This window comes from Homo sapiens, chromosome 14 (genome assembly GCF_000001405.40).
Source record: "Homo sapiens chromosome 14, GRCh38.p14 Primary Assembly".
NCBI classification, from domain to species: Eukaryota; Metazoa; Chordata; class Mammalia; order Primates; family Hominidae; genus Homo; species Homo sapiens.
The window spans coordinates 96,331,011-96,355,902 of NC_000014.9; the positions used below are offsets into that span (position 1 = coordinate 96,331,011).

Below are 24,892 nucleotides of genomic sequence, written 5' to 3' on the forward strand. Positions count from 1 at the left end.
ATCTCTGCTAATGCCAGTGACAATAAGAACTGTTTTCACGACTGCAGTGGTGTCAATAGGGATGAAGGCAAAATGTGGTTAAAGAAACTTGACAAGAGCTGGGCAGGGAACTAAAGAGATCACTTTGAAAACTCCTATTATCTAGATCTGTTATTCTGCATGCCAAATAACCTGAATGAAAGATTCTAAACACCTTTGCAGCACTGCAAGAAAACTTCACTCATTCCATTCATTTACAAATAAAATGTGAATTAGAAAAACAAATGCAGATAGGCAGATACAAAAGTCCACATGTGGTTCTTTTTCAAGGATCATTAGCATATGTGGAAGTTTAAAGGATCATTAATACATATGTGAGAGTTTACCTAAGGTGATCGTGTGAGCAAGCTTCTGCAAACACTGCTCGGAAAGACTTAAAATCTTCTGTTGAAAATCTTGCTGGATCAATCTTTTCTATACAAGTAAAGAAAGCTACTGCCATAGGTGTCAATGGATTAAGGTTCTGTGACGTTTCAGGTGGAGATAAAGGATCAATGTGAAGCACAGAGATTGAAAAAGTTCCCACAGCTAGTCTAAAAATAAGTTCAGGCCTTGATTCATCCACTGAAACAGATCTAGATGGGAGAGCTAAAATACAAGTATTAAAATTATATACATAAAATTTGACACATAAAACTATTAAAATTATAAAACATTTACTCATTTATTAGCTTTAAAAAACAGATGATCATACAACAGTTTGAATGATATTAAACAATTAATTTAAGTAAAATCAACTGCTATCTTGCTGCATCTTACATCCAAGATTTTTGTACTAAAGTACAAGAGTACGTGACAACAGTAAATGTACAAACCAAGCTTTTATATTAATAAAAACATACTGGAAAACTCAAGATTAACCAAAAACTGCTCACCAAATTTTCCTTTAAGCCTTGGGTCTATATCAATTAAATTTTGCAGAAAAGAAACCTGAGGTTCTCTTCCAAGGAAAATGTAAATAGTGAAACAAAAATCACATGATTGACTGAGGGTCCTGAACTGCAATAATAATATGAAACTTACAGTGTACTTTTAACTAAAAATATTTAAGTATTTAAATACACAAAGAATACAATAAATGAGCAACTATTCTAAAACACTTCACAGTGAATTGTTTAACAATGGTTCATTTTGCTTTCTGAACTTTGTAAATGGCCAAGACCAGAAAAAAAAAAAAAAGAAAGAAAAGCACCAGTAGAATGGCATTTTAAAAATTCCAGCGGAAACTAACAACAAATGTCTTATTTTTACTTACATGTCTTCTGTAAAGGTGTTGGGTGAACTAGGTTGGATGGAAATGTTGACCCTCTTACTGGCTGTTCTTTATGATGATCAAGGAACTCTCCCCAAGTGGGCTGAAGCTATAAAAGATTTTTTTTAAGCACATGAATGAAGTGTAGAATTTTAGAAGCAACTTTTCAGTCTAGAAGAAAAATTAAGTAATACTTTACCACAGTAGCACTTAATGGAGATCCTGCTGGGGTATTTGTATATGTACTAGTTAATGATAACTCAAGGTCCATGTTTGGGGGGTCCCCAAGGGGTGGAAGAGAAGAGAGACTATGAGACATGTCCATATCAGCCATGGAGAAGAATACTTCTTCTTCTAGAGAGAATTAAACTATGTCACTTGTATTATAATCCCACCAATTCAAGTCTTTTAAGTAAGTTAATATACGTTAATACAATCCTCTTCCTTCAGATTATATGAGATACAGCGATGCCCCAAATTTTATGTTACTTACAGTGGTGTAATTTATGAGTCCAAAATATTAATGGCATAGTAAAAACTCAATATAAATTAATAAAAAATGAAGCTACCCTACTGATGAACATGTTTTCTTTTGTTTTAAATATATAAATGTAGTATTACCTGGTATATTTTTAATGTGATATGCCAGTTTAGGAATTAAAATCAGATATTAAAATAGTATAAATATATTGCAACCTCTAGTTTCATCTGGATACAGTTATTTCTTTTATTCAGAGCCAAAAACATTATTTGGAATTCCATTTACATTTCAGTTCCTTCTTTCGGAATTGTTTTACTCTCATGCAAATGAAGTTTATTATGGCCAAAATTTTTTGAGTAGGGTTTGATTTCTTATTTTGTCCAACATTCCATACTTAAATTGATCCATATTATTTATGTTATTAGCATTTATACATTGTGAAACACCTATAAATGTAAAGTAAGCTGGGTAGAGATCATTATTTACATATAACTGATGGAAAGATCAATAAAGGAAAGTTTCCTTATTAAACTTTAGTAGTTCAGTAGTTTCTTAATCTAGAAATCATTACATGAGCACATAATAATTTGACAAAATATATAACTACCTAATTTAACTTTCACATAAATTTACATTTTTATAAATTGGTTTTCCTTAGACTAAATCATTTAGAAAACAAAACTACACAATCAAAATCAAAAAAATATACTATAGCACCTATGTGCTGGTGCATTACTGTAATGTTGTGATTAGATTAATCGTAAATTAAAAGTTGTGGATTTCTTACAATGTGGATCTTTTTGTTCTTTCATTCCTAAACTTCTGTTCACAGCAGCCAAAATTAAGTGTAATTTTATCTATGATTATAATATATGATTCTGGTGTCAACAGTTTGAGTTGCTTACCACGGCTAGAAGGTGTACGAGCTGTTTCTGTCTCATAAAAGCTTTGCTCTGAAGATACACCCACAGAGAGGGAATCTTTTCTCAAATAATACCGGTTTAATTCCATCTGAATTCGATACTCGTCTTCCTGCTGCATGGGTCGATTTTTCCTATCTTTATTAGCTAACCCTATTTTGCTAGAATTTTCTATAAGCATACAAAAGGAAACCAAAACAGTAATTAAATTTGGAGTTAATTAAGCATTTCTTTCCCAAAACCCATTTATGGAACAACAATGGCAACTTAACACCACAGTGCAAAACCACTGCTATTTAGTGAGTCAGAGCTCTAAGCAACAGCTTTAAGCAACTAGCCAGGAATCCCAAAATCTTATCGCTGATAGATAGAAGCCATTGAAAATATTTTAAAATGTGTACCACTTACTGTGTTCAAGAATTATACTTTCTCGATTGTATGAAGTACTATCCCCAACCAAAGAAGTCAGAACAATTTTAGAAAAGTTAAGAATGTGACACACATAATCTGAAGTGAATATGTCCCATGGTAACACATTCAAAACACCCAATCAAATTTTACTACTTAACATTCTTATTTGCTTCTTTCAATTCAGATATTCAAAAATAATAGACTTTCCTACATGTACATACATTACATATTTTAAAGTTTTTTAAAATTTAAAAAAGTAACAAGTATATATAATAACAGAATTATACTTGCCTGGTCCAGCAATAGCTGCCAACATATCCAAAAGCAAGTGCACCTGTCTTGGTGACAGGAGTAGATGAATAGAGTCTATCTGTCCATCAACATCCAACTTAAGGGAAAAAAAAAAACTATTCATGAGGAGTATTCTTTATAACCTTATCACCATAAACGTCAGTATATTTTAATGAACTGAGATGAATACTGAGTCTTTAGTCTTGGAGTCCTTCATCTGAGACTCTCTCTACTAATTCACACCATCTAAATGAAAAGACTTAAAGGCCACCAAACTGTTGTTCTAAAAGGAAAAACCCTCCTGAGAAATTCCATGCTGACGAGTCCAATGTTATACTTTTTGTCTCTTCAAGTCTTCTGAGTACTTAAAAGTATTTGAGGAGGACTTAAGACATAGTCTCCAAGGATGAATATTAAGGTAGCAATAGCACAGTATTCATTGACTTTCAAAAGACTGAAATCATAATCCTTAAAGTCTGATTCACATCAAGAACAAATAAAGTTGGCTTTCTTAAGTACACTACCAATCATACTCTAGCAGAGCATGTAAGGACCTTCTCCTCCAACACTGTGCCTTCCCAGTACCTACTGTGGTCCACAAAGCCCGCTCTGCATGCAAGGGGACGCCACTACAGAAACGTGGACAGAAGATGGTGCTTAGGTGGACTTCCTTTCTCTTTTCCAACTCTTTGCCCACTTTTCCATCTAGAAATAAAAGCTCCATCCCACTCTCTTGATGATTCCTGAATACTCTGACAAAAGCAATTACTTTATTCTCTATATTACATTCTAAAAAGCAGAATATCCCTGCCTTACTTTTCATTCGCCTCCTCTTAACACTGACTCCTATTATTTTTATGTCATTTTGCAACTGAAAAATAATAGAATTAACAAAACATTTATATCTAGAAAATGACTTCTTCCCAGGAGAAAAAGGGATTCCTTCTGATTCTAAAACAAAACAAACAAAAAATCAAATAAACTACATAATGATTGAGAAATTTCGATGACCTAAGAAATCCAGTAAAATAAATCATTATTATCACTTTTATTTTTAGCATTGGGGTACCATGCTAAGTGCTTTTATATATATTTCCTCTAATTCTTATTAATGTTCCTGTTTTATAGGTGAAGAAATGAGTTCACAAAGATTCAGTGAATTGCACAAGGCCCATGTAGCAGATCCAGAGCTGGATTTTCACCTAGGCTGACCTGGAGGAAAAGCCCTCACTCCTTCCACGGCATGGCTCCCTTGTTCTGCCCACAGACAACTTATTTTACGGGGCACCTTCCTGACTACTGACATCCCAAGCCATGAGCCAACCTAAGGCTGAGAGGAGAGAGAAAATGTGTTTCTAACTACATGCCAAATTTAAAAATTGTTTTATAATTTCACAATTGTTGTACTGAAAGCACAATCTCTGACTTTCATTAGAATGGCCAATCAAGAGTTTCATTTCTAATTCATTGAAATTAAAATTTTCATAGAAATATTTCATTATTTGTACATTCTAAGTTTGGCATAAAAAGAACAAAGTACTTACTACTTTCTTTTGAAAATATAAAAGAACATAACTAAAAAACAAATTTCAACTCAATGTAACATGGTAACTGAAACAAAACATCTCTAAATTCAATACGGGCAGTCTCCAATTTTCAATAAAATGCATTCCTAAAAACATAGGCTAAAACTGAATACATGAAACACAGACTTACACACTACTCAAGGGAATACTATTCAGAGAACTTAAAAAAAAAAAAAAAACATGAAATCTTTCATAACATTTTGAATCCACAGTTGAAAGAGTTAAGGCTAATGTACATCAGAAAGAGATTAAAGATCTGACATTTTCAGCACCCCTAATTAATGCCATCTTTATCTACACTATATTTTATGAGATCTATGTTTCTCAATACTAAAATCCAGAACTTGTCTTTTTCCATTTAGCATCATTTGCATTAAATAAAAACAAATTATACTCAAATACTCAAGTCATTACACAAAAATTACTCTATAGGCAAGGGTAGTACTTCTAAATATTAAATATTGGCTGGCACACAATGCCACTACGCAGTTTTTCCACATGTTCATTTGTCACTAATATACAGAACTCTAAAAGTAACATATATTTATACATTTGTACAAATGTATACATAATGTTTTATTATAAAAGACATTTGTACAAATCAACACATCATGTACAAAAGTTTGGGTTTACATAAATATAAAAGCATACAAATGTTGAGGACTACATATAATTAACCAAAACAGAACTATAAAAGTTATTGCTATGCTTCCTCCTTACAGACATGGCAAATGCATTCCCCAGAGACATAAACATATTATTAGTATAGTTTCCCAAGGATGTTACCACAGCAGAGGATTCCCTGTAGAGTTTACATAATCTTTTGACTACCTGTTCTGCTAACAATCCCAACATGTTACTTGTAAAGGGCCTTTTGACATTGTAAAAGGATTTTGCACCATCTGAAGAAGGACAGAGCAGTAAACAGAAGGGGCCTGAGTAATCAGTAATAGGAGTGTCTTCATTCTACTTTCCTCCTCCTCCAACTCTAGTCAGAGGTTCCAATCCAAGGAGGGATTTCCGGAGATTCTTCAATCCTCTGAAAAATCATTTTATGTATATTGACATGTACTTAGTGGCTCCCTCTTCTGTGTCCCCACAGCAATTTCCATACCCCTTACTGTATCTTTTACCAAGGCAAAGATTGTATCTGATTCATCTTTGCATCTGTCCGAAAAACTGGGACAGGTAAGTGGCTGGCATGTGGTAGTCACTTGAACATCTACAACTAGGGAGATCAGTAAATAAACAAATGAATAAATCCGGGTATCTTCTTAATTAAAACTACGTTTTATAGAGATTATGTAGAAAATTTGTTTTCAAGGTGTGAAAATAATGCTTGACAAATACATTTTTAACTAAGTAAATGCAAGTTTCCTGGTTCTCCATAAGACTGATCAATATGATTCCCTAAGAGGCAAATATAGTTGTATTTATACAGTGTCTTTATACAGTGTCAAAGCTATGAGAAGGAGAACCCTCATATGCTTTTGGTGGGAATGCAGATTAGTACAACCACTACAGAGAACAGTATGAAGGTTCCTCAGAAAACTAAAAAATATGTTTTTGTATGCTTTGTCAAAGATCAGTTAGTTGTATGCATTTGGTTTTATTTCTGGGTTCTCTATTCTGTTCCATTGGACTAAGTGCCTATTTTTATACCAGTACCATACTGTTTTGCTAACTACAGCCTTGTAGTATAATTTAAAGTCCAGTAATGTGATAACCCCAGATCTGTTTTTTGTTTAGTATTGTTTTGGCTGTGGTGGGCTCTTCTCTGGTTCCATATGAATTTTAGGGTTGTTTTTTCTAGTTCTGTGAAAAATGACGGTATTTTGATGGGAATTGCATTGAATATGTGGATTGTTGTGGGCAGTATGGTCATTTTCACAAAATGCATTATTTCCATCCATGAGTATGGGATGTGTTTCCATTTGTTTGTGCCATCTATTCTTTCAGCAGTGTTTTGCAGTTTTCCACTTGTAGAGAGATTCAGCTCCTTGGTTAAGTATATGCCTAGGTATTGTATTTTATTTTATTTTATTTTATTTGCAGCTATTGTAAAAGGGATTGAGCTCTTGATTTGATTCTTAGCTTGGTCACTGTTGGTGTATAGCACTGCTACTGATTCGTGTACGCTGATTTTGTAACCTAGGAGTTTACTGAATTCATTGATCAGATCTAGGAGCCTTTTTGATGAGTCTTCAGGGTTGTCTAGGTATATGACATAGCATAGGTGAACAGCTATAGTTAGACTTCCTCTTTTCCAATTTGGATGTCCTTTATTTCTTTCTCTTGCCTGATTGCCCTGGCTAGGACTTCCAGTACTATGTTGAATAGAAGTGGTGAAAGTGGGCATCCTTGTCTTGTTCCAGTTCTCAGGGGGAATGCTTTCAACTTTTCCCCATTCAGTATGATGTTGGTTGTAAGTTTGTTATATATGTCTTTTATTACACTTTGAGGTAAGTCCCTTCTGTGCCTATTTTGTTGAGAGTTTTTATCATAAAGGGATGCTGAATTTCATCAAATGCAAAACCATAAATTGGTTAAAACACCCCCTATTCAATAAATGATGCTGGGAAAACTGGCAAGCCACATGTGGAAGAAAGAACCTGGATCCTCATCTCTCACCCTATACAAGAATCAACTCAAGATGGACCAAAGATGTAAATATAAGACTTGAAACCATAAAAATTCTATAAGAAAACATTGGAAAAACTCTTCTGGACATTGGCTTAGGCAAAGAATTCATGACTAAGACCTCAGTGAATGCAACAAAAACAAAAATAAATGGGACCTGATTAAATTAAAAAGCTTCTGCTCAGCAAAAGAAATAACCAGCAGAGTAAATGGACAACCCACAGAGTAGGAGAAAATATTTGTAAACTATGCATCCAGCAAAGGACTAATATCCAGAATCTACAAGGAGTTCAAACAAATCGGCAAGAAAAAAATAATCCCATCAGAAAGTGAGCAAGGGACATGATTATATATTTCTCAAAGAAGATATTTAAACAGCCAACAACCATGAAAAAGTGTTCAACATCACTAATCATCAGGAAAATGCAAATTAAAAACACAATGAGATACCACCTTACTCCTGCAAGAATGGCCATAATTAAAAAGTCAAAAAACAATAGATGTTGGGATGGACATCGTAAAAAAGGAACACTTTTACACTGCTGGTAGGAATGTAAACTTGTACAACTATTATGGAAAGCAGTATGGAAATTCCTTAAAAAACTAAAAGTAGATCTACCATTCGACCCAGCAATTCCACAGTGTGTGTGTGTGTGTGTGTGTGTGTGTGTGTGTATACATATATACACACACATATATACACATATATACACAAACATATATATACACACATATATATGTATGTGGTGTATATACACACATGTGTATATATGTATGTGGTGCGTGTATATATATATGGTGTATATTTATGTGGTATACATACACACCACATACACATATACACCACATATATATACACCATATACAAATATATGTATATATATTTACACACAGTGAAATACCACTCAGCCATAAAAAGGAACAAAATAATGTCTTTTGCAGCAACTTGGATGGAACTGGAGGCCATTATTCTAAGTTAAGGAACTTAGGAATGGAAAACCAAATACCATATGTTCTCACTTATAAGTGGGAGCTAAGCTATGAGAATGCAAAACATACAGAGGTATATAATGGACTGTAGGGACTCAGGAGGAGGGGAGGTTAGGAAGGAGGTGAAGGATAAAAGACAACATACTGAGTATACCGTACACTGCTCAGGTGACAAGTACACTAAAATCTCAGAATTTACCACTAAAGAACTCATCTACGTAACCAAAAACCACCTGTATCCCAAAAACAACTGAAATTTTTGAAAAAAGAAAACAAAGGGACAACAACAAAAACTAAAAATAGAACTTCCATATGATTCAACAATTCCACATAAGGTATATACCCACAAGAAAGGAAAGCAATATACCAAAGAGATAGCTGCACTGCCATGTTTACAGCACACTATTCACATAGTGAATATATATGATATATATGAATATATGCTATATGTGATATGATATATATGAATATATGCTATATAGAATATATGATATATATGAATATATATATCATATATGATATATATGAATATATATATCATATATGATATATATTCACACACACGTATATATATTCACACACACATCTTTGTGTGTGTGTGTGTGTGTGTGTGTATTTATATATATGGACTCATCCTATATATGGACCCATATATGGACCAAAATATGGACTCATCCTACATATCCATCAACAGATGAATGGATAAAGAAAATGTGGTATATATGAACAATGGAATATTATTCAACCATAAAAAATAATGAAGTCCTGTCATTTGTAACAACATGAATGGAACTAGAAGCCATTATGTTAAGTGACATAAGCCAAGCACAAAAAGATAACGCATGTTCTCACTCATAGGCAGGAGCTAAAAAAGGGGATCTCATGAAGATTCCCCTACTCACGAAGAGTAGACTGATGGTTACCAGAGGCTGGGAACAGTGGGGAAATGAAGGGAAAAAGAATATAAATATACTGATTATCACTTAACTTACACTTAAAAATAGTAAAGGGTCCTGGTGAGGTGGCTCATGCCTATAATCCCAACACTTTGGGAGGCTGAGCAAGAAGGACTGCTTCAGCCCAGGAGTTCAAGACCAGCCTGGGCAACATAGTGAGACCCTGTCTCTACAAAAAACATAATACAAAAATTAGCCAGGCATGGTGGCATGTGCCTGTAGCCCCAGCTACTTGCGAGGCTGAGGCGGGAGGGTTGCTTGAGCCCAGGAAGTCGAGGCTGCAGTGAGCCAAGATCTTGTCACTGCACCCCTGCACCCCTGCCTGGGCAACAGAGGGAGACCCCATCTCGAAAAAAAAAAAAAAAAAGAATGAAAGATGATATATTATATAGGTTTATTTTATGTCAAAAAATTTTAAAGCTATGAGACAATGGAAAAAGTCTATCTCTTTTCACAAATATTATACAACTATATAAAAATGGTCATTCTGTTCAAAATAGATGGGTAGATATTTTTACATACATATAATTATAAAAACATCTTCTACAGATTTCTTGCTTGCCAAATCTCTTTTCCTTTAAACTTAATTTTATGAAAATAGAAAGAATTTTTTAAATAAATTCCTAGTTATCTGAACTAATGAAACCATGTTTAATACCAAAAAGAGAGGTTTGTCAGTTTCGAATTGTCGGAATACGGGAGAGTGAGTGTAGAAGGCAACTCTTTATAAAACTTGAGCTGCAACAGTAGGGCAAAGGCAGTCCTCACATAAATTTTGTGACCTAGGATAGAAGCATCAACTGAGAGTAAAAATGCTAACTCGGTGACAGCAGTACACTAGTTACAGGATAATCTGCAGTAATCAATCAGTGAATCACTGCATAGAATAAAGAATACTTGTACTTTTATTTTGGTTTTACTACAGAAAGTGAAACAAACACTGACCTTAGCTCCAGGAAGCACTTCATTCTGTTTCAACGTGAGACTCAACTCCAACCTACCAATTAACCGTCCAATCTGCACTGGGTCAGAAGGTGCTATCTCTGGTAAATTTCTAGTTAGCTGTGGGTGTGGCTCATAAATAATTTTGGGGTTCCAGCTAGGTGAGAGCTTTGGCTCAGTTTCCTACAATAAAGTGACAAAAATAATTATTTAAAATACTTTCATATAAATAAAATGAAATGTAAAATATAAATGTCAACTTAAGAAGAATAAAATATTTGACATGTAAAACTGTATGATGTTACAATGGACAAACCAGTATCGTATAGCTAAAATGAAACACAGTCCACTAAAATGTTAGCACAGTCCACTGGTAATAAAAGCAAGTCATGAAAAAGGACTTCATGAAAAAAAGCACAGTATCTGTTCAAGTTACAGCAGTAAGAAAACCTAATGGGCACTGTATAATTAAGAAAATCTGATTTGTAAAATAACAAAAAAGGCAAATTATACAGTGACTGACTTATAAAAGGACTCTCCTCTTGGAAGGGATTTAACAGAGTTCCTTAATTATAAAGCTTTTTAAAGAGATGATTTGTAGAATAAAATTTCATCAATACAGTCACTATGTAAGGTAAATTTGCACACTGCTTAATTTCCTCTGTTTTGATTGTAAAAAAAAAAAAAATTAGACGTTAATATAGGCTAAACATCTCTAAACCAAAAACCCAAAATCCAAAATGCTCCAAAATCCAAAACTTTTTTGAGTGCCAACATGACACTCCCACAAGGTCAGGAAAATACACCTGACCTCACGTGATGGGCTGCAGTCAAATATTTGTTTCATGCACAAAATTATTGAAAATATTGTATAAAATTACCTTCAGGCTATGTGTATAAGGCATATATGAAACATAAATGGGCCAGACGTGGTGGCTCACGCCTGTAATCTCAGCACTTTGGGAGGCTGAGGCAGGTGGATCGCCTGAGGTCAGGAGTTCGAGACCAGCCTGGCCAACGTTGCGAAACCCCGTCTCTACTAAAAATACAAAAATTAGCCGGGCATGGTAGCATGTGCCTGTAATCCCAGCTACTCAGGAGGCTGAGGCAGGAGAATCCCTTGAACCTGCGAGGTGGAGGTTGCAGTGAGTCGAGATTGCGCCACTGCACACCAGCCTGGGCGACAAGAGACTCTCTCCAAAAAAAAAAAAAAAACAAACATAAATGAGTTTTATGAGTTTTGTATTTACACTTGGGTCTCATCCCCAAGATACCTCATTATGTCTATAAAAATATTCAAAAATCTGAAACACAGTCCCAGCATTTTGAATAAGAGATACTCAACTTCTACACCATTTTCCCCCAAGATACAGTACCCAACATTTCTCTTTCAAACTAATACACAGCACACTGGTAGGAATATAAATATTAGTATTTTCAAATCTCTGAAACATATATTACCATTACTGAATATTTGCATTAAATCTCAAGACAGAGATTCATTAAGACATATTATACATCCTAGCAAAATTTAATAGCCCCCATTTAAACCTTTTAAAAAATCTATGATTATGGTTTTAGGGTTTTTGTTTTTTCTTACCACTGGTGCAGTTGAACACACTGGGGAAGATTTGGCTGATGCAGAAAACTCATCCCAGAAGAGAGACACTCCAGAGAGCTGAAGTAACTTGTGAGCAAAAGCAGTGGGTTGATGCACATTAATTCCTGAGGATTCGTCAGCAGTTTCATCACAGTACACAGTTCTGAAATTTTTTTAAAAAGCATTTACAAAAAGCTCCTAGGGGTGCAGCGCACCAGCATGGCACATGTATACATATGTAACTAACCTGCACATTGTGCACATGTACCCTAAAACTTAAAGTATAATAATAATAATAAATAAATAAATAAAATCTCCTAGGAAAACCTATTTACAATAAGAAACGCACATAGCTTTTTTAAGTTAAGGGGTTTTTTCAAGTGTTAGCACTTCTTAGAATATGCCTATAATATGGTCAGTCTCACCATGCTTTACTACCATAAATATTTTCATGAAGAGGTCTTAACTCCAAAAAGGTAACTTTATGAGGCTTAAATTGAGAGAAAAAAATTAATAACTCCCTTAAGTTAGTTTTAAGGAAAACAATTCCTGTACTCCCCCACAAAACATCTCTTGGTAACAGTGTGACAGCATTTGGCTCCAAGTCACAAATGACGTTTCTTGAATTCCTATATGTGACTAATTTTCAGTTTAAACAAAACACATAAGGTGGTTCTAAATGCATGAAATTTTAGATTTTTTTAAATCTACTATTTAAGGCAATGGACCCTTATTCCAAAGATCTGCTAACAATAACTGTTTTACTAATAGGTGTTTTGTGAAAGACAGAAATCTTAACACAGCTGCTTAAAATTCAGTAGAGACCCCCAGTAGATCCATGTACGAAGTGTCTCTGGTGCTCATGCAGTGTACACGCTTCATCCTGCTCATTTCTGTTGGCAGTTCATACAGCATTAACACACGGGTGACCAGTTACTGCCTCAAATCAATGCTTAGGTGTATGTATGTAAATTAACCTTGCTTTACAGCTATGTATAAGAGCTTCAAGTGGGCATATGCAAAAAACTAAAAGCAACGTACTTATATTTTTTTAAGTAAATATTGCACATATTAACCTTAAAATAATCCGTAGAGGATCCTCAAAACAGTGGCCTTAGCCTTTCTCACTAAAGCAGCACTTAGATTAAGCACAGCAAAACAAAAATGTCTTTCACGTTAATGAAATATGCCTAAATATTGCATTGTTAATATGAAAAAACTGAAACTTTCCCACAGGAAAGCCTTAAATTCAGTGGCACTCAAATGCTTATTATTCTGATCTGATATTAACTAAAACAGAATAACTTGCTTTAAATTCAACATGGTATTATATATAATTATACCCCAACTGGCACTTTCAAGTTTTCAATAAGGGAATTAGAATAATAAAATTAGCAAATAACTTGAAGAGCAGCACTTTACTCTGAAATTATGCAATATTTTCATATCATTAGCTCTAATCTCCAAAACCTCCCTGAAAATGTAATATCAGAGTTACAATAGGGTCATTTATTTTCAGACATAAGAATTCTTACCTTTCTATTCGAATTTCAAGTGCAGTTCCAGTTTTGGAATTTTCTGGCACATGTTCAATTCTCAAAACAGTATCTATAAAAGTGACTTTTACTCTTCTTAGTACTAAAGTAAACAAGTAATTGTCAACGTAAGAGACCACATATATGCTAAATAAAAACCTCCAAAGAAATAAATAAGTACTAGTTTGATAAGAACTTTTGTTTACAAAATAAAGAAGCTGAATTTCTTTCCATTAAAATCCTTAAATCCTGAGTTTTGTAATAAATATTTTGTCTTACTGAGCACTTAACCATGTTACATCTCAACAGATGCTTGGGACAACGACTAACACTATCTGTTATATTCTAATCCATTCACTATGCAAGCATAATAAATGGAGAAACTAAGGTACAAAAAAAAAAACAACATGCAATTAAATGGAATATTTAAAATACCTCAATTCTAAAGTTCTGAAGTGGGAACAGTAATTCTTTTAAAAATCCATTCCAATGGATTTGCCTTATACAAAGCTTATTACATGAAGGTACAAAACTACTAAATCAAATCTAAATTTTTGAAAATTCTCAGTAACACCAAACCTGTTTCAATGGTTTCAGCAAACTTTTCAAGTCCTTCAAAAGGCTGGGATCCTTCTCCTTGTTCATCTGTTAGTTTCTGGCTAAGACATTCTTTTGCCAATTGCATACTGCTGGTCATAAAACTTGACCAATACATAGGCTCAGAACCAGTTGCTGTGGAAAATATAAATTAATCCTAAATAATTTCTTAAGAGTTACAACAATGCCAGTTCTTAAAATAATACATTTCAAATAGACAAATTCTTAATCTTTTAAGAGATTTTTAACATCATGATGTTACCCAGGTAAACAATATTCTAGAAAGTACTCTTGAGATTTAAAATCACCTTATAATAACCAAGAAGGAAAAAAAGATCACAGAAAAAAGTCCAGAGAATGTGCTCTCACAACATGTTATATTTTACCAAATATCAATTCATGTATTCATTCAACAAATACTTAATGGATATCCTACAGATGCATGGAACTGTTCTAAATATTATAAGCAGGGGTTGACATACTTTTTTCTGTAAAGGGTCAGACAGTAAATATTTTATATTTTGTGGGCCATATGGTCTGTATCACAACTTCTCAACTCTCATATTATAGCACAAAACAGCCATTAAAGTAAATAAACAAATAAGCATGGCTGTGTTCCAATAAAACTTTATTAACAAAAACAGACGACAGGACCAATTTGGCCTGCAGGTTATAGTTTACTAACCCTGCTGTTGAAAGTAGAAAAAATAATAGTAAATTCTGCCCTCAGAGAACCTACTATATAGTTAAAGAAATAAGATACGATTAGTAGACAACTATTGAATGTCAACAGAAAACATTATGAAAGCTAAAAGAAGAGGTTAATTCTTCTTTAGTTAATTATTTCCTTCTAGCTGAGAAAATTAACAGGAAATGTGGCAGAAGTAGTAGATGATACAGGCTTTGGAAATTAGTATATATGTAGATAAAATAAAAGAGCATCCTTGGAGGAGGAAACATATGAGATGTGAAAAATCATTTCCAGATCTTCCCTCATGAGAAAATTCTCCCCACACCTCCCTACATTATTCAAAGCAAAGTGACAGAGATTGCAAGAATTACTGCCTTCCAAAATGGAATTTAAAAGTCTTTCTAATGGAATGCTTTAAAGAGAAAAATATTTGAAAGTTTGCCTTCCCATAGAAAAATATTATATCCACTCATCATAGTTAAAAGATAGAATATTCTTGTAAATTAAATGCCAGATTACTAAAGACGATTTCCATGCATGCATAATCGGTTTTCAAAATACAGAGTTTCACTTTAATTCTACTAAATATAATTTAAACTTTCATGTTTTGGGCAGTACTTGGGATTATAATTCTGTCATTGCATACCAACATACCTGTCACCTAGATTGTCAATTCTATCTAATTCTATCATTTTTTTCTCTATTTATAAGTAGCTATTCTGCTATAAAGAAGAGCATTCCTTCTCCCTGTCCACCTTACATACTGATTTATCTGTATCAGTATGGTCCTAGAGATTTTTTATTTCATGTGTTATAAACCATTATTGTCATCATTCTTTGTAATACTCAAATTTTCCCAAATATGGCCAAGGGAAGCCCCCTGACACTCAATCCTGTGTCCCTTTAACATTTTTCCAACAATCTTTGAGCATTCTTCTTTGCTTTCTGGCACAATACTTTTTGAATCTTTAAAACCCAAGTCTCATTTTAGATAACTGATAACAAATAATTAAATAAACCAAACAATCTGTATACTAAAGTTTCTGTGAAAAATCGGGGAAAGAAACAACTCTAAATTTGTAAACATGCACATTCTACAAAGAGCCAAGTCGTAATGTATTATCAACTGAAAATTTCACAAATACAAAGCAAAAATACTAAATTTAAGGTAATCAGGTTACTTTCCCAGTCTCTGAAGAATAAAAACACATAAAACAGAAACATACAACACACCAACCTGGGCGAGGTCTAGGCCGGAAGACCATTTCTAATCCTCTCACTTCCAGTGCACAATTATCCTGCAGTAAAGAGCCCCATGGAACTGACAGGGAAATTGACTGAATGAATCCTTCAGTGACTTCTAAGGGTGCATCTGCTGACTCCAAGATCTCATTGAGACACTAAGGAGAAAAAACAGGTTCATTATGAATCACAAGAACAAGAACACAAAGTTGTGAACTTATTCAAAGGTGTCAAATATGCCCACACATGTTAGGCACTAGGTATAAAGAAAGCAGAGACTTCCACAAGTACAGGCAATCAAAGCAAAAGTGGACAAATGCTTCTGCACAGCAAAGGACACAATTAACAAAGTGAAGGGATAACCCGCAGAATGGCAGAAAATATTTGCAAACTATCTATCTGACCCAGGATTACTAATCAGAACATATAAGGAGCTCAAACAACTCTACAGGAAAAAAATCTAATAATCCTACTAAGAAATGGGCAAATGATTTGAATAGACATTCCTCAAAAGAAGACATAAAATGGCAAACAGGCATGTGAAAAGGTGCTCAACATCACTGACCATCGGAGAAACACAAATGAAAACTACAATGAGATATCATCTCACTACAGTTAAAATGGCTTCTATCCAGAAGACAGGCAATTAACAAATGCTGGAGAGGATGTGGAGCAAAGGCAACCCTCATACACTGTTGGTGGAATTGTAAATTATTACACCCACTATGGAGAACAATTTGGAGGTTCCTCAAAAAAACTAAACATAGAACTACTATATGATTCGGCAATCCCACTGTTAGGTATAGCCCCCAAAAAAGGAAATCAGTTTATGGAAGAGATATCCACGCTCCCATGTTTACTGCAGCAATATTCACAATAGCCAAGATTTGGAAGCAACCTAAGTGTCCATTAACAGATGAATGGATAAAGAAAATGTGGTACATATACACAATGGAGTACTATTCAGCCATGAAAATGAATAAGATCCTGTCATTTGCAACAACATGAATGGAACTAGAGGTCATTATGTTATATGAAATAAGCCAGGCACAGAAAAACAAACTTTGCATGTTCTCACTTATCTATGGAAGCTAAAAATTAAAACAATTGAACTCATGGTGATAGCAGAAGGATGGTTACCAGAGGGTGGGAATGGTAGTAGGGTAGCAGGGATGGTTAATGGGTACAAAAATATAGTTAAAATGAATAAGCCCAAGGGCCAGGCATGGTGGCTCACACCTATAATCCCGGCACTTTGGGAGGCTGAGACGGGCAGATCTCTCGAGGTCAGCAGTTCGAGACCAGCCTGGCCAACATGGTGAAATCCCGTCTCTACTAAAATTACAAAAATTAGCCAGGCGTGGTAGGACGTGCCTGTAATCCCAGCTGCTTGGGAGGCTGAAACAAAAGAATCACTTGGACCCAGGAGGCGGAGGCTGCAGTGAGCCACTGCACTCCAGCCTGGGCGACAGGGGACTCCATCTCAAAAAAAAAAAAAAATGAGTAAGATCTAGTAATTAATAGTACAACAAGGTGGCTACAGTCAATAATTTATTGTACATTTTTAAATATCTAAAAGAGCACAACTGAATTATATGTAACACAAAGGATAAATGCTTGAGGTGATGCATACCCCTTTTACCCTGATGTAATTATTAGGCATTGTATGCCTGTGTCAAATATCTCACGTACCCCATTAATATATATACCTACTATGTACCCACAAAAATTAAAAGTTAAAAATTAAAAAGAAAGCAGAGACCAAGATAAAGATGATCTCGGTCCTCACTAAGCTTACAAGATAGTATACCATGAAAGAGACAAGTAATTAAAGTGTGATGATTATATACAGAGGAAACACACTGTGCTATTTGAACACATAATAGAACCTAACCTGCAGATTCAAGGCAGCCCACTTGAAGGAGTGCTATTTTAAGCTGGGACCAGAAGACCAGAAGGAGTTAATCAGGCAAAATGGTCCAGGCAAAAACAAAGCATGTGGAAGGATTCAAAGAAAGCAGAAGTCAAAGAAATACATGCAGGCATATTTGATACATCGCAGTATTTGAAAAAGAAAAGTTGCTTTAGGCTTCAGTGTGCCAGGGCGAAGACCCAGAGACAAGGCTATGTAGATAAAGAGGAGTAGGATCCAAAGAGCCTTGTAATGCATGTTAAAGCGTCTGAAATTTATCTTAAGGGTGATGTGAAGCCACTGAAGGGCTTTAAGCAAGGACGCCATGATGAGATTCAAACTTTGAGTGGGCCCCTTCAGTTGCCATGTACAGCATGAAGGGAAGATGCCAGCAGGAAGGCTGTTATGAGTAATAGAAGCTAGAGAGGCTGGTTTGGCACAGATAGCAACACTGAGGACAGTCACAAGTGGATAAATTTTTGTAACATATTTAGGAAGTAGAATGATTAATTGGCATCATGAGGGGTAAAAGAAAGAAAGAATTATGAATGACACTTAGGAGGCTGGCTTGGGCAATTGCTTAGATAGAGGTGTCATTTACTGAGATACAGAAACACAGGGAAGCAGGTTAGAGGGAAGATGAGAAGTTCACTTCCAAAGTACACATTTAAGGAGACATCTAGGTAGAGGTGCTAAGGAGGAAGCTGGAGCTTCCTCCAGCTAGAGCTCAGGAGAGCCATCTGGGTGGGAGATACAGATTAACATTACAAACACAGAGGGTAGGTCAGGTATGGTGACTCACGCCTTTAACTCCAACACTGGGAAGCCAAGGCGGGAGGATCTTGAGCTGAGCAGTTTGAGACCAGCCTGGGCAACACATCAAAACCCTGACTCTACAAGAAATTCAAAAATTAACCAGGTGTAGTGGCACATACCCGTAATCCCAGCTACTTGAGAAGCCGAGGTGGGAGGAATGCTTAAGCCCGGGAGGCAGAGGTTATAGTGAGCCAAGACTGTGCCCCTATACTCCAGTCTGAGCAACTTAGTAAGACCCTGTCTCAAAAAAATAATAAAATAATAAACAAATGGGTAACTGAAGCCACAGCACGAGGAGAGAAATGTTTGGGAACTTATACAGTGTAAAATGAGAGGTGGCTTAAGACAGAACTCATAGACACCAATATTTAAGAAAAGGGTTATGAAAGAGGAGCCTGCAGAAGAAACTAGAAAAAAGCAAACAGAGACATAGAAGGAAAATTGAAAGAGGTTCATGTCCCAGAAAATCATGGAAGAACAACATGACAGAGAAGAGTGGTCAAGCTCAACAAAAGCTAACAAGAAGTCAAAGATTTTTAAATGTCTACTGAAATCAGTAATATTTAAAGTACTAGTGATCCCATTAACTGCAATTTCAGTGGCATGGTGGAGCAAACCAGACTACAACAGGAGACAGACAGAAAGAACGTAAATGCGATTTTTAAAAGACAATTTACTTTTCAAATTAAAATAACATATTTATTAAACGCCAGCTTATATGTAAAGTGCTTCCTGCATGCTATATTGCATAGGGTAGTATAATTCTTTGTCTGTACCCTAGTGTTGAATAGTGAGACTTGATCGGCTCGTTTTATTTTTGGAGATCACTACTTTAAAAGGCTTTCTTCATGCTGACATTTGCATAATCCTAAAGACTTTCCCAGTAGTACATGGGCATGGATGGTTTTAAGGTATAAGCATCCAAACATATTCTTTCCTAAAATGGACTGAGAAGACTACAGACAGTGGTGGCATCATGCTGGGTCTCCTGTCCCATAGTTCCTTGTACAATCTTCCTTCTCCCATTTAGCCAAAATAGCCATATTCTTCCTCTCTTCAGAAATTCTCCCTTATGTACTGTCTAAGGTATAAAAACCTCCAGACAGGGCCAGCAGTACATTTTCTATCTTTTCCCATCTTATACTTTTTTTGGCATGACACTCAGAAATTCAAAGAACTCAGTGATGTTGCTCCTGCAAAATCTCTCAATTCTCATCTACTGATTTATAACATCAGTATTTCTCAAGCTTGTATCTACATTTTAATTTAGAATAAAATGTGTGCCGAGCCCTGCTGAATTCCAGCTATAAGTATATTCACCTATGGATGCACTAACAAATTAGGGAGGAGGGGATCACAACCAACCTCTATCATTAAGAAATTTATTTCCAGTAAAAGTTTTTATGTTTGCTGGGTACAGTGGCTCATGCCAGTAGTCCCAGCAATTTTGGAGACTGAGGCAGAAGGATTGCTTGAGTCCAGGAATTTGAGACCATCCTGGGAGACATGGTGAAACTCGTCTCTACAAAAAATACAAAAATTGGCCAGGCGCAGTGGCTCAAGCCTGTAATCTCAGCACTTTGGGAGGCTGAGGCAGGCAGATTGCCTGAGGTCAGGAGTTTGAGACCAGCCTGGCCAACATGGTGAAACCCTGTCTCTACTAAAAGTACAAGAATTAGCCAGGCATGGTGGCCCACGCCTTTAATCCCAGCTACTCGGGAGGCTGAGGTAGGAGAATCACTTGAACCCGGGAGGCGGAAGTTACCGTGAGCCGAAATCGCGCCACTGCACTCCAGCCTGGGCGGCAGAGCAAGACTCCGTCTCAAAAAAAAAAAAAAAAATTAGATGGCATGGTAGCCCGTGCCTGTAGTCCCAGCTCCTTGGCGGGCTAAGGTGGGGATAATCGCTTGATCCCAGGAGGTCAAGGCTGCGGTTGAGCTGTGATCACCCACTGCACCCAAGCCTGGGTGACACAGCAAGACCTTGTCTCAAAAAAAAAAAAAAGAAAAAAAAATTTTTATGCTTATCAAAATGCATAAATTTATACTGTTTTGATCAACTATACACTTAACAATAATTGTAATTACAACACAATCCAGAAGAAAAGTAACACTTAAAGCCCCATGATTATCTGAAGGAAATAAAGTTATGCATCACAGAAGGACATCTGGTCAATGACAGACCATGTATAGGATAGTGGTCCTGTAAGATTATAATGGAGCTGAAAAATTCCTATCACCTTAGTGACATCGCAGCCATCATAAGGCAATGTAGCACAACACATTACTCACATGTCTGTGGTGATGCTGGTGTAAATAAACCTCTTGCTCTGCCAGTCATAAGTCTAGCACAAACAGTTATACACAGTACATAATACTCGAGGGTGATAATAAACAACTATGCTACCGGCTTCTGTTTTAATACCTATACTATACAATTTAATCATTATTTTAGAGTATACTCCTACTTTAAAAAAAAAAAAGTTAACTGTAAAACAGGCTCAGGCAGTTCTTTCAGGAGGTACCCAGAAGAAGGCATTGTTATCATAGGAAAGGACAGCTCCATGCATGTTACTGTTCCTGAAGACCTTCCAGTGGAACAAGATGTGGAGGTAGAAGGTGGTGACATTGATGATCCTTACCCTGTGTAGGCCTAGGCTGTGTTTTTTTGCGTCTTAGTTTTTGACAAAAAAGTTTAAAAATTAAAAAAAAAAATTAAAAATACAAAAAAATGCTTATAGCATAAGAATATAAAGAAAAAGTATTTTTGCATAGCTGTACAATGTGTGTTTAAGCTAAATGTTATTACAAAAGAAACAAAAAGTTCAAAAATTTTTTTAAAGTTTATAAAGTTACTGTAACCTCAGGTTAACTTATTATTGAAAAAAAAAAGATGTCTTTATTAATATAGTCTAGCCGAAGTGTACAGTGTTTATTCTAGCCGAAGTGTACAGTGTTTATAAAGTCTACAGTAGTGGACAGTGATGTCCTAGGCCTTCACATTCACTCACTGACTCACTCAGAGGAATTTCTAGTCCTGCAAGCTCCATTCATGGTAAGTGCCCCATACAGCCATATCAATTTTTATCTTTTTAAAATTTTTATTTTTTATATTTTATGCCATATTTGTACATACCTTTTCTATGTTTAGATACACAAATACCATTGTGTCACAGTTGCCTACAGTATTCAGTAACATGCTGTGCAGGTGTATAGCCTAGGAGCAATAGGCTGTACCCTATAGCCTAGGTATACAGTAGGCTATACCACTGGGTTTAGGCAAGTACACTATGACGTTCACACAACAAAACTGCCTAATGACCCATTTCTCAGAACATATCCCTGTCGTTAAGCAACACATGACTGTACTGATAAAATGAATATAGTAAGCCCTAGAGCAACCACTAAGAAACAATTTAAAAATACATACTGGGCTGGGCATGGTGGCTCCCACCTGTAATCCTAGCACTTTGAGAGGCCAAGGTGGGCAGATTGCCTGAGCTCAGGAGTTCAAGACCAGCCTAGGCAGCATGGTAAAACCCTGTCTCTACTAAAAACCCAAAAAATTAGCCAGGCATGGTGACATGGGCCTGTAGTCTCAGCTACTCGGGAGGCTGAGGTACGAGAATCGCTGGAACCTGGGAGGCTGAGGTTGCAGAGAGCCGAGATTGTGCCACTGCATTCCAGCCAGGGCGAAACAGTGAGAATCTGTCTCAAAAAAATTTCATATTTTATATATATATATATATAAATCATTAAAGGAATTAAAATGTTACACTAGAAAATATTTGCTTAATGCAAAAGAAAGCCTAATGCCAACAGAAAAAATTTAATATAAACAATTTCAATTTATATGTTTTTATTGTAGAGAAATGGCAGCATGATCAATAAAAGACAAGCATAAACTATATAAATTACAATGGAATCTTGCAAAGTAAAATGGACACAGGAGTTCAATGGAAAAAGACACGATGTTAAATTTCCAACTTTAATGAAGAGATTGTTCAAGCATTTTTTAACGGATAATGTGTACGATTTTTAAATCCCACTGGATGAAAAAAGTTATATTTTAATATCAATATTTAAACAAGTTATTCTCTACAACTATTTAAAATTATAATAAAAAGTAAGTCAATTTTAAACATACAAGGAATATGTAGTTTTTTAAAAAAAATTTCAGAGATAATTGAGCAAACATGGTTAAAGACCACTCCTTCATTTATTTTTTCCAACTTTTAAGTTCAGGGATACATGTGTAGTACATCCAGGTTTGTTACATACGTAAATGTGTCCCATGGTGGTTTGCTGCACAGATCATCCCATCACTTAGTATTAAGCCCAGTATCCATTAGCTATTCTTCCTGATGCTCTCACTCCTCACCCTCTGACAGGCCACAGTGGGTGTTGTTCCCACCATGTGTCCATGTGTTCTCATCATTCAGCTCCCACTTGAGAACATGCAGTATTTGGTTTTCTGTTCCTGCATCAGTCTGCCAAGGATAACGGCTTCCAGCTCCATCCACGTGCCTGCAAAGGACATGATCTCATTCCTTTTTATGGCTGCATAGTAGTCCACTGTGTGTATGTATACTTTCTTTATCCAGTCTATCACTGATGGGCATTTGGGTTGATTCCGTGTCTTTGCTATTGTCAACAGTACTGCAATGAACATAAGCGTGCATATATCTTTATAATAGAACAATTTATATTCCTTTGGGTATATACCCAGTAATGAGGTTGCTAGGTCAAATGGTATTTCTGCCTCTAGGTCTCTGAGGAATCGCCACACTGTCTTCCATAATGGTTAAACTAATTTACACTCCCATCAACAGTGTAAAAGCATTCCTTTTTCTCCACAATCTCACCAGCCCGTGTGTTTTGTTTTTGTTGTTATTGTTGTTGTTTTACTTTTTAATAATAGCCATTTTGAGTGGTGCGAGATGGTATCTCATTGTGGTTTTGATTTGCATTTCTCTAATGACAGTGATGTTGAGCTTTTTTTTCCACATTTGTTGGTCACATGTATGTTGTCTTTTCAGAAGTGTCTGTTCACATCCTTTGCCCACTTTTTAATGGGGTTGTTTTTTTCTTGTAAATTTGTTAAGTTCCTTACAGATGCTGAATTTTAGACCTTTGTCAGACGGATAGCTTGCAAAAATTTTCTCCCATTCTGTAGGCTGTCTGTTCATTCTGATGACAGTTTCTTTTGCTGTGCAGAAGCTCTTTAATTAGATAACCATTTCTCAGTTTTTGCTTTTGTTGCAATTGCTTTTTGCTTCTTCATCATGAAATCTTTGCCCATGCCTATGTCCTGAATGGTACTGCCTAGATTTTCTTTTAGGGTTTTTATAGCTTGGGGTTTTATAATTAAGTCTTTAATTCATCTTGAGCTGATTTTTGTATATGGTGTAAGGAAGGGGTCCAGTTTCAATTTTCTGCATAGGGCTAGCCAGTTCTCCCAGCACCATCAGGGAATCCTTTCCGCATTGCTTGTTTGTGTCAGGTTTGTCAAAGATCAGATAGTTGCAGGTGTGAGAAGCCCACTCCTTTAAAACAGCATATGTTCAGGTTACTTACTAGCTAGCTGGGTGGCTCTGAACAAATCCTTAATTTCCAAGTCTCAATTTCCTGGTCCATAAAATAGAAATAGTAACTCCACAGAGTTACTGTGACCATTAATGAGGTAATATATGTAAAACTACCAACATATTAATAGTTCCTGGTACTAAGCAAACACTTTTTAAATGCGGGCCATTGGTCTTTATCTTTCACAGTACCTACCTAGTACAATGATGAGCTCTATAAAGGAACTCAAGGTGTGCTTGACAATATGAAAAAAAAGCAAACATTAAATTATATATTTCTTCTTAATACGTAATTCCATAGATTAACTAGGCAAAGAATACATCTTTATTAGTTTAAACCAAGGCATCAGAATTCAAATCGAGATAAGACAGAGCATAAAAACGCGCATGAGCTGGCTGAGGGCGGT

The 24,892-nt window shown here is 35.6% G+C and overlaps 1 protein-coding gene across 1 annotated transcript in view; it reads right to left on the bottom strand.

The window, feature by feature from the left end:
- The window catches only part of ATG2B (autophagy related 2B), an 84,147-nt gene that overhangs the window by 51,816 nt on the left and 7,439 nt on the right, over positions 1-24,892 (bottom strand). Inside the window, exons 2-11 of the mRNA NM_018036.7 lie at positions 16,169-16,331; positions 14,223-14,375; positions 13,644-13,746; positions 12,109-12,271; positions 10,512-10,691; positions 3,395-3,491; positions 2,678-2,863; positions 1,491-1,645; positions 1,295-1,400; positions 366-627 (exon numbers count right to left, since the gene is read on the bottom strand). Of these exons, the coding sequence (NP_060506.6) occupies positions 366-627; positions 1,295-1,400; positions 1,491-1,645; positions 2,678-2,863; positions 3,395-3,491; positions 10,512-10,691; positions 12,109-12,271; positions 13,644-13,746; positions 14,223-14,375; positions 16,169-16,331 (1,568 nt within the window). The remainder of the gene's footprint in view (positions 1-365; positions 628-1,294; positions 1,401-1,490; positions 1,646-2,677; positions 2,864-3,394; positions 3,492-10,511; positions 10,692-12,108; positions 12,272-13,643; positions 13,747-14,222; positions 14,376-16,168; positions 16,332-24,892) is intronic.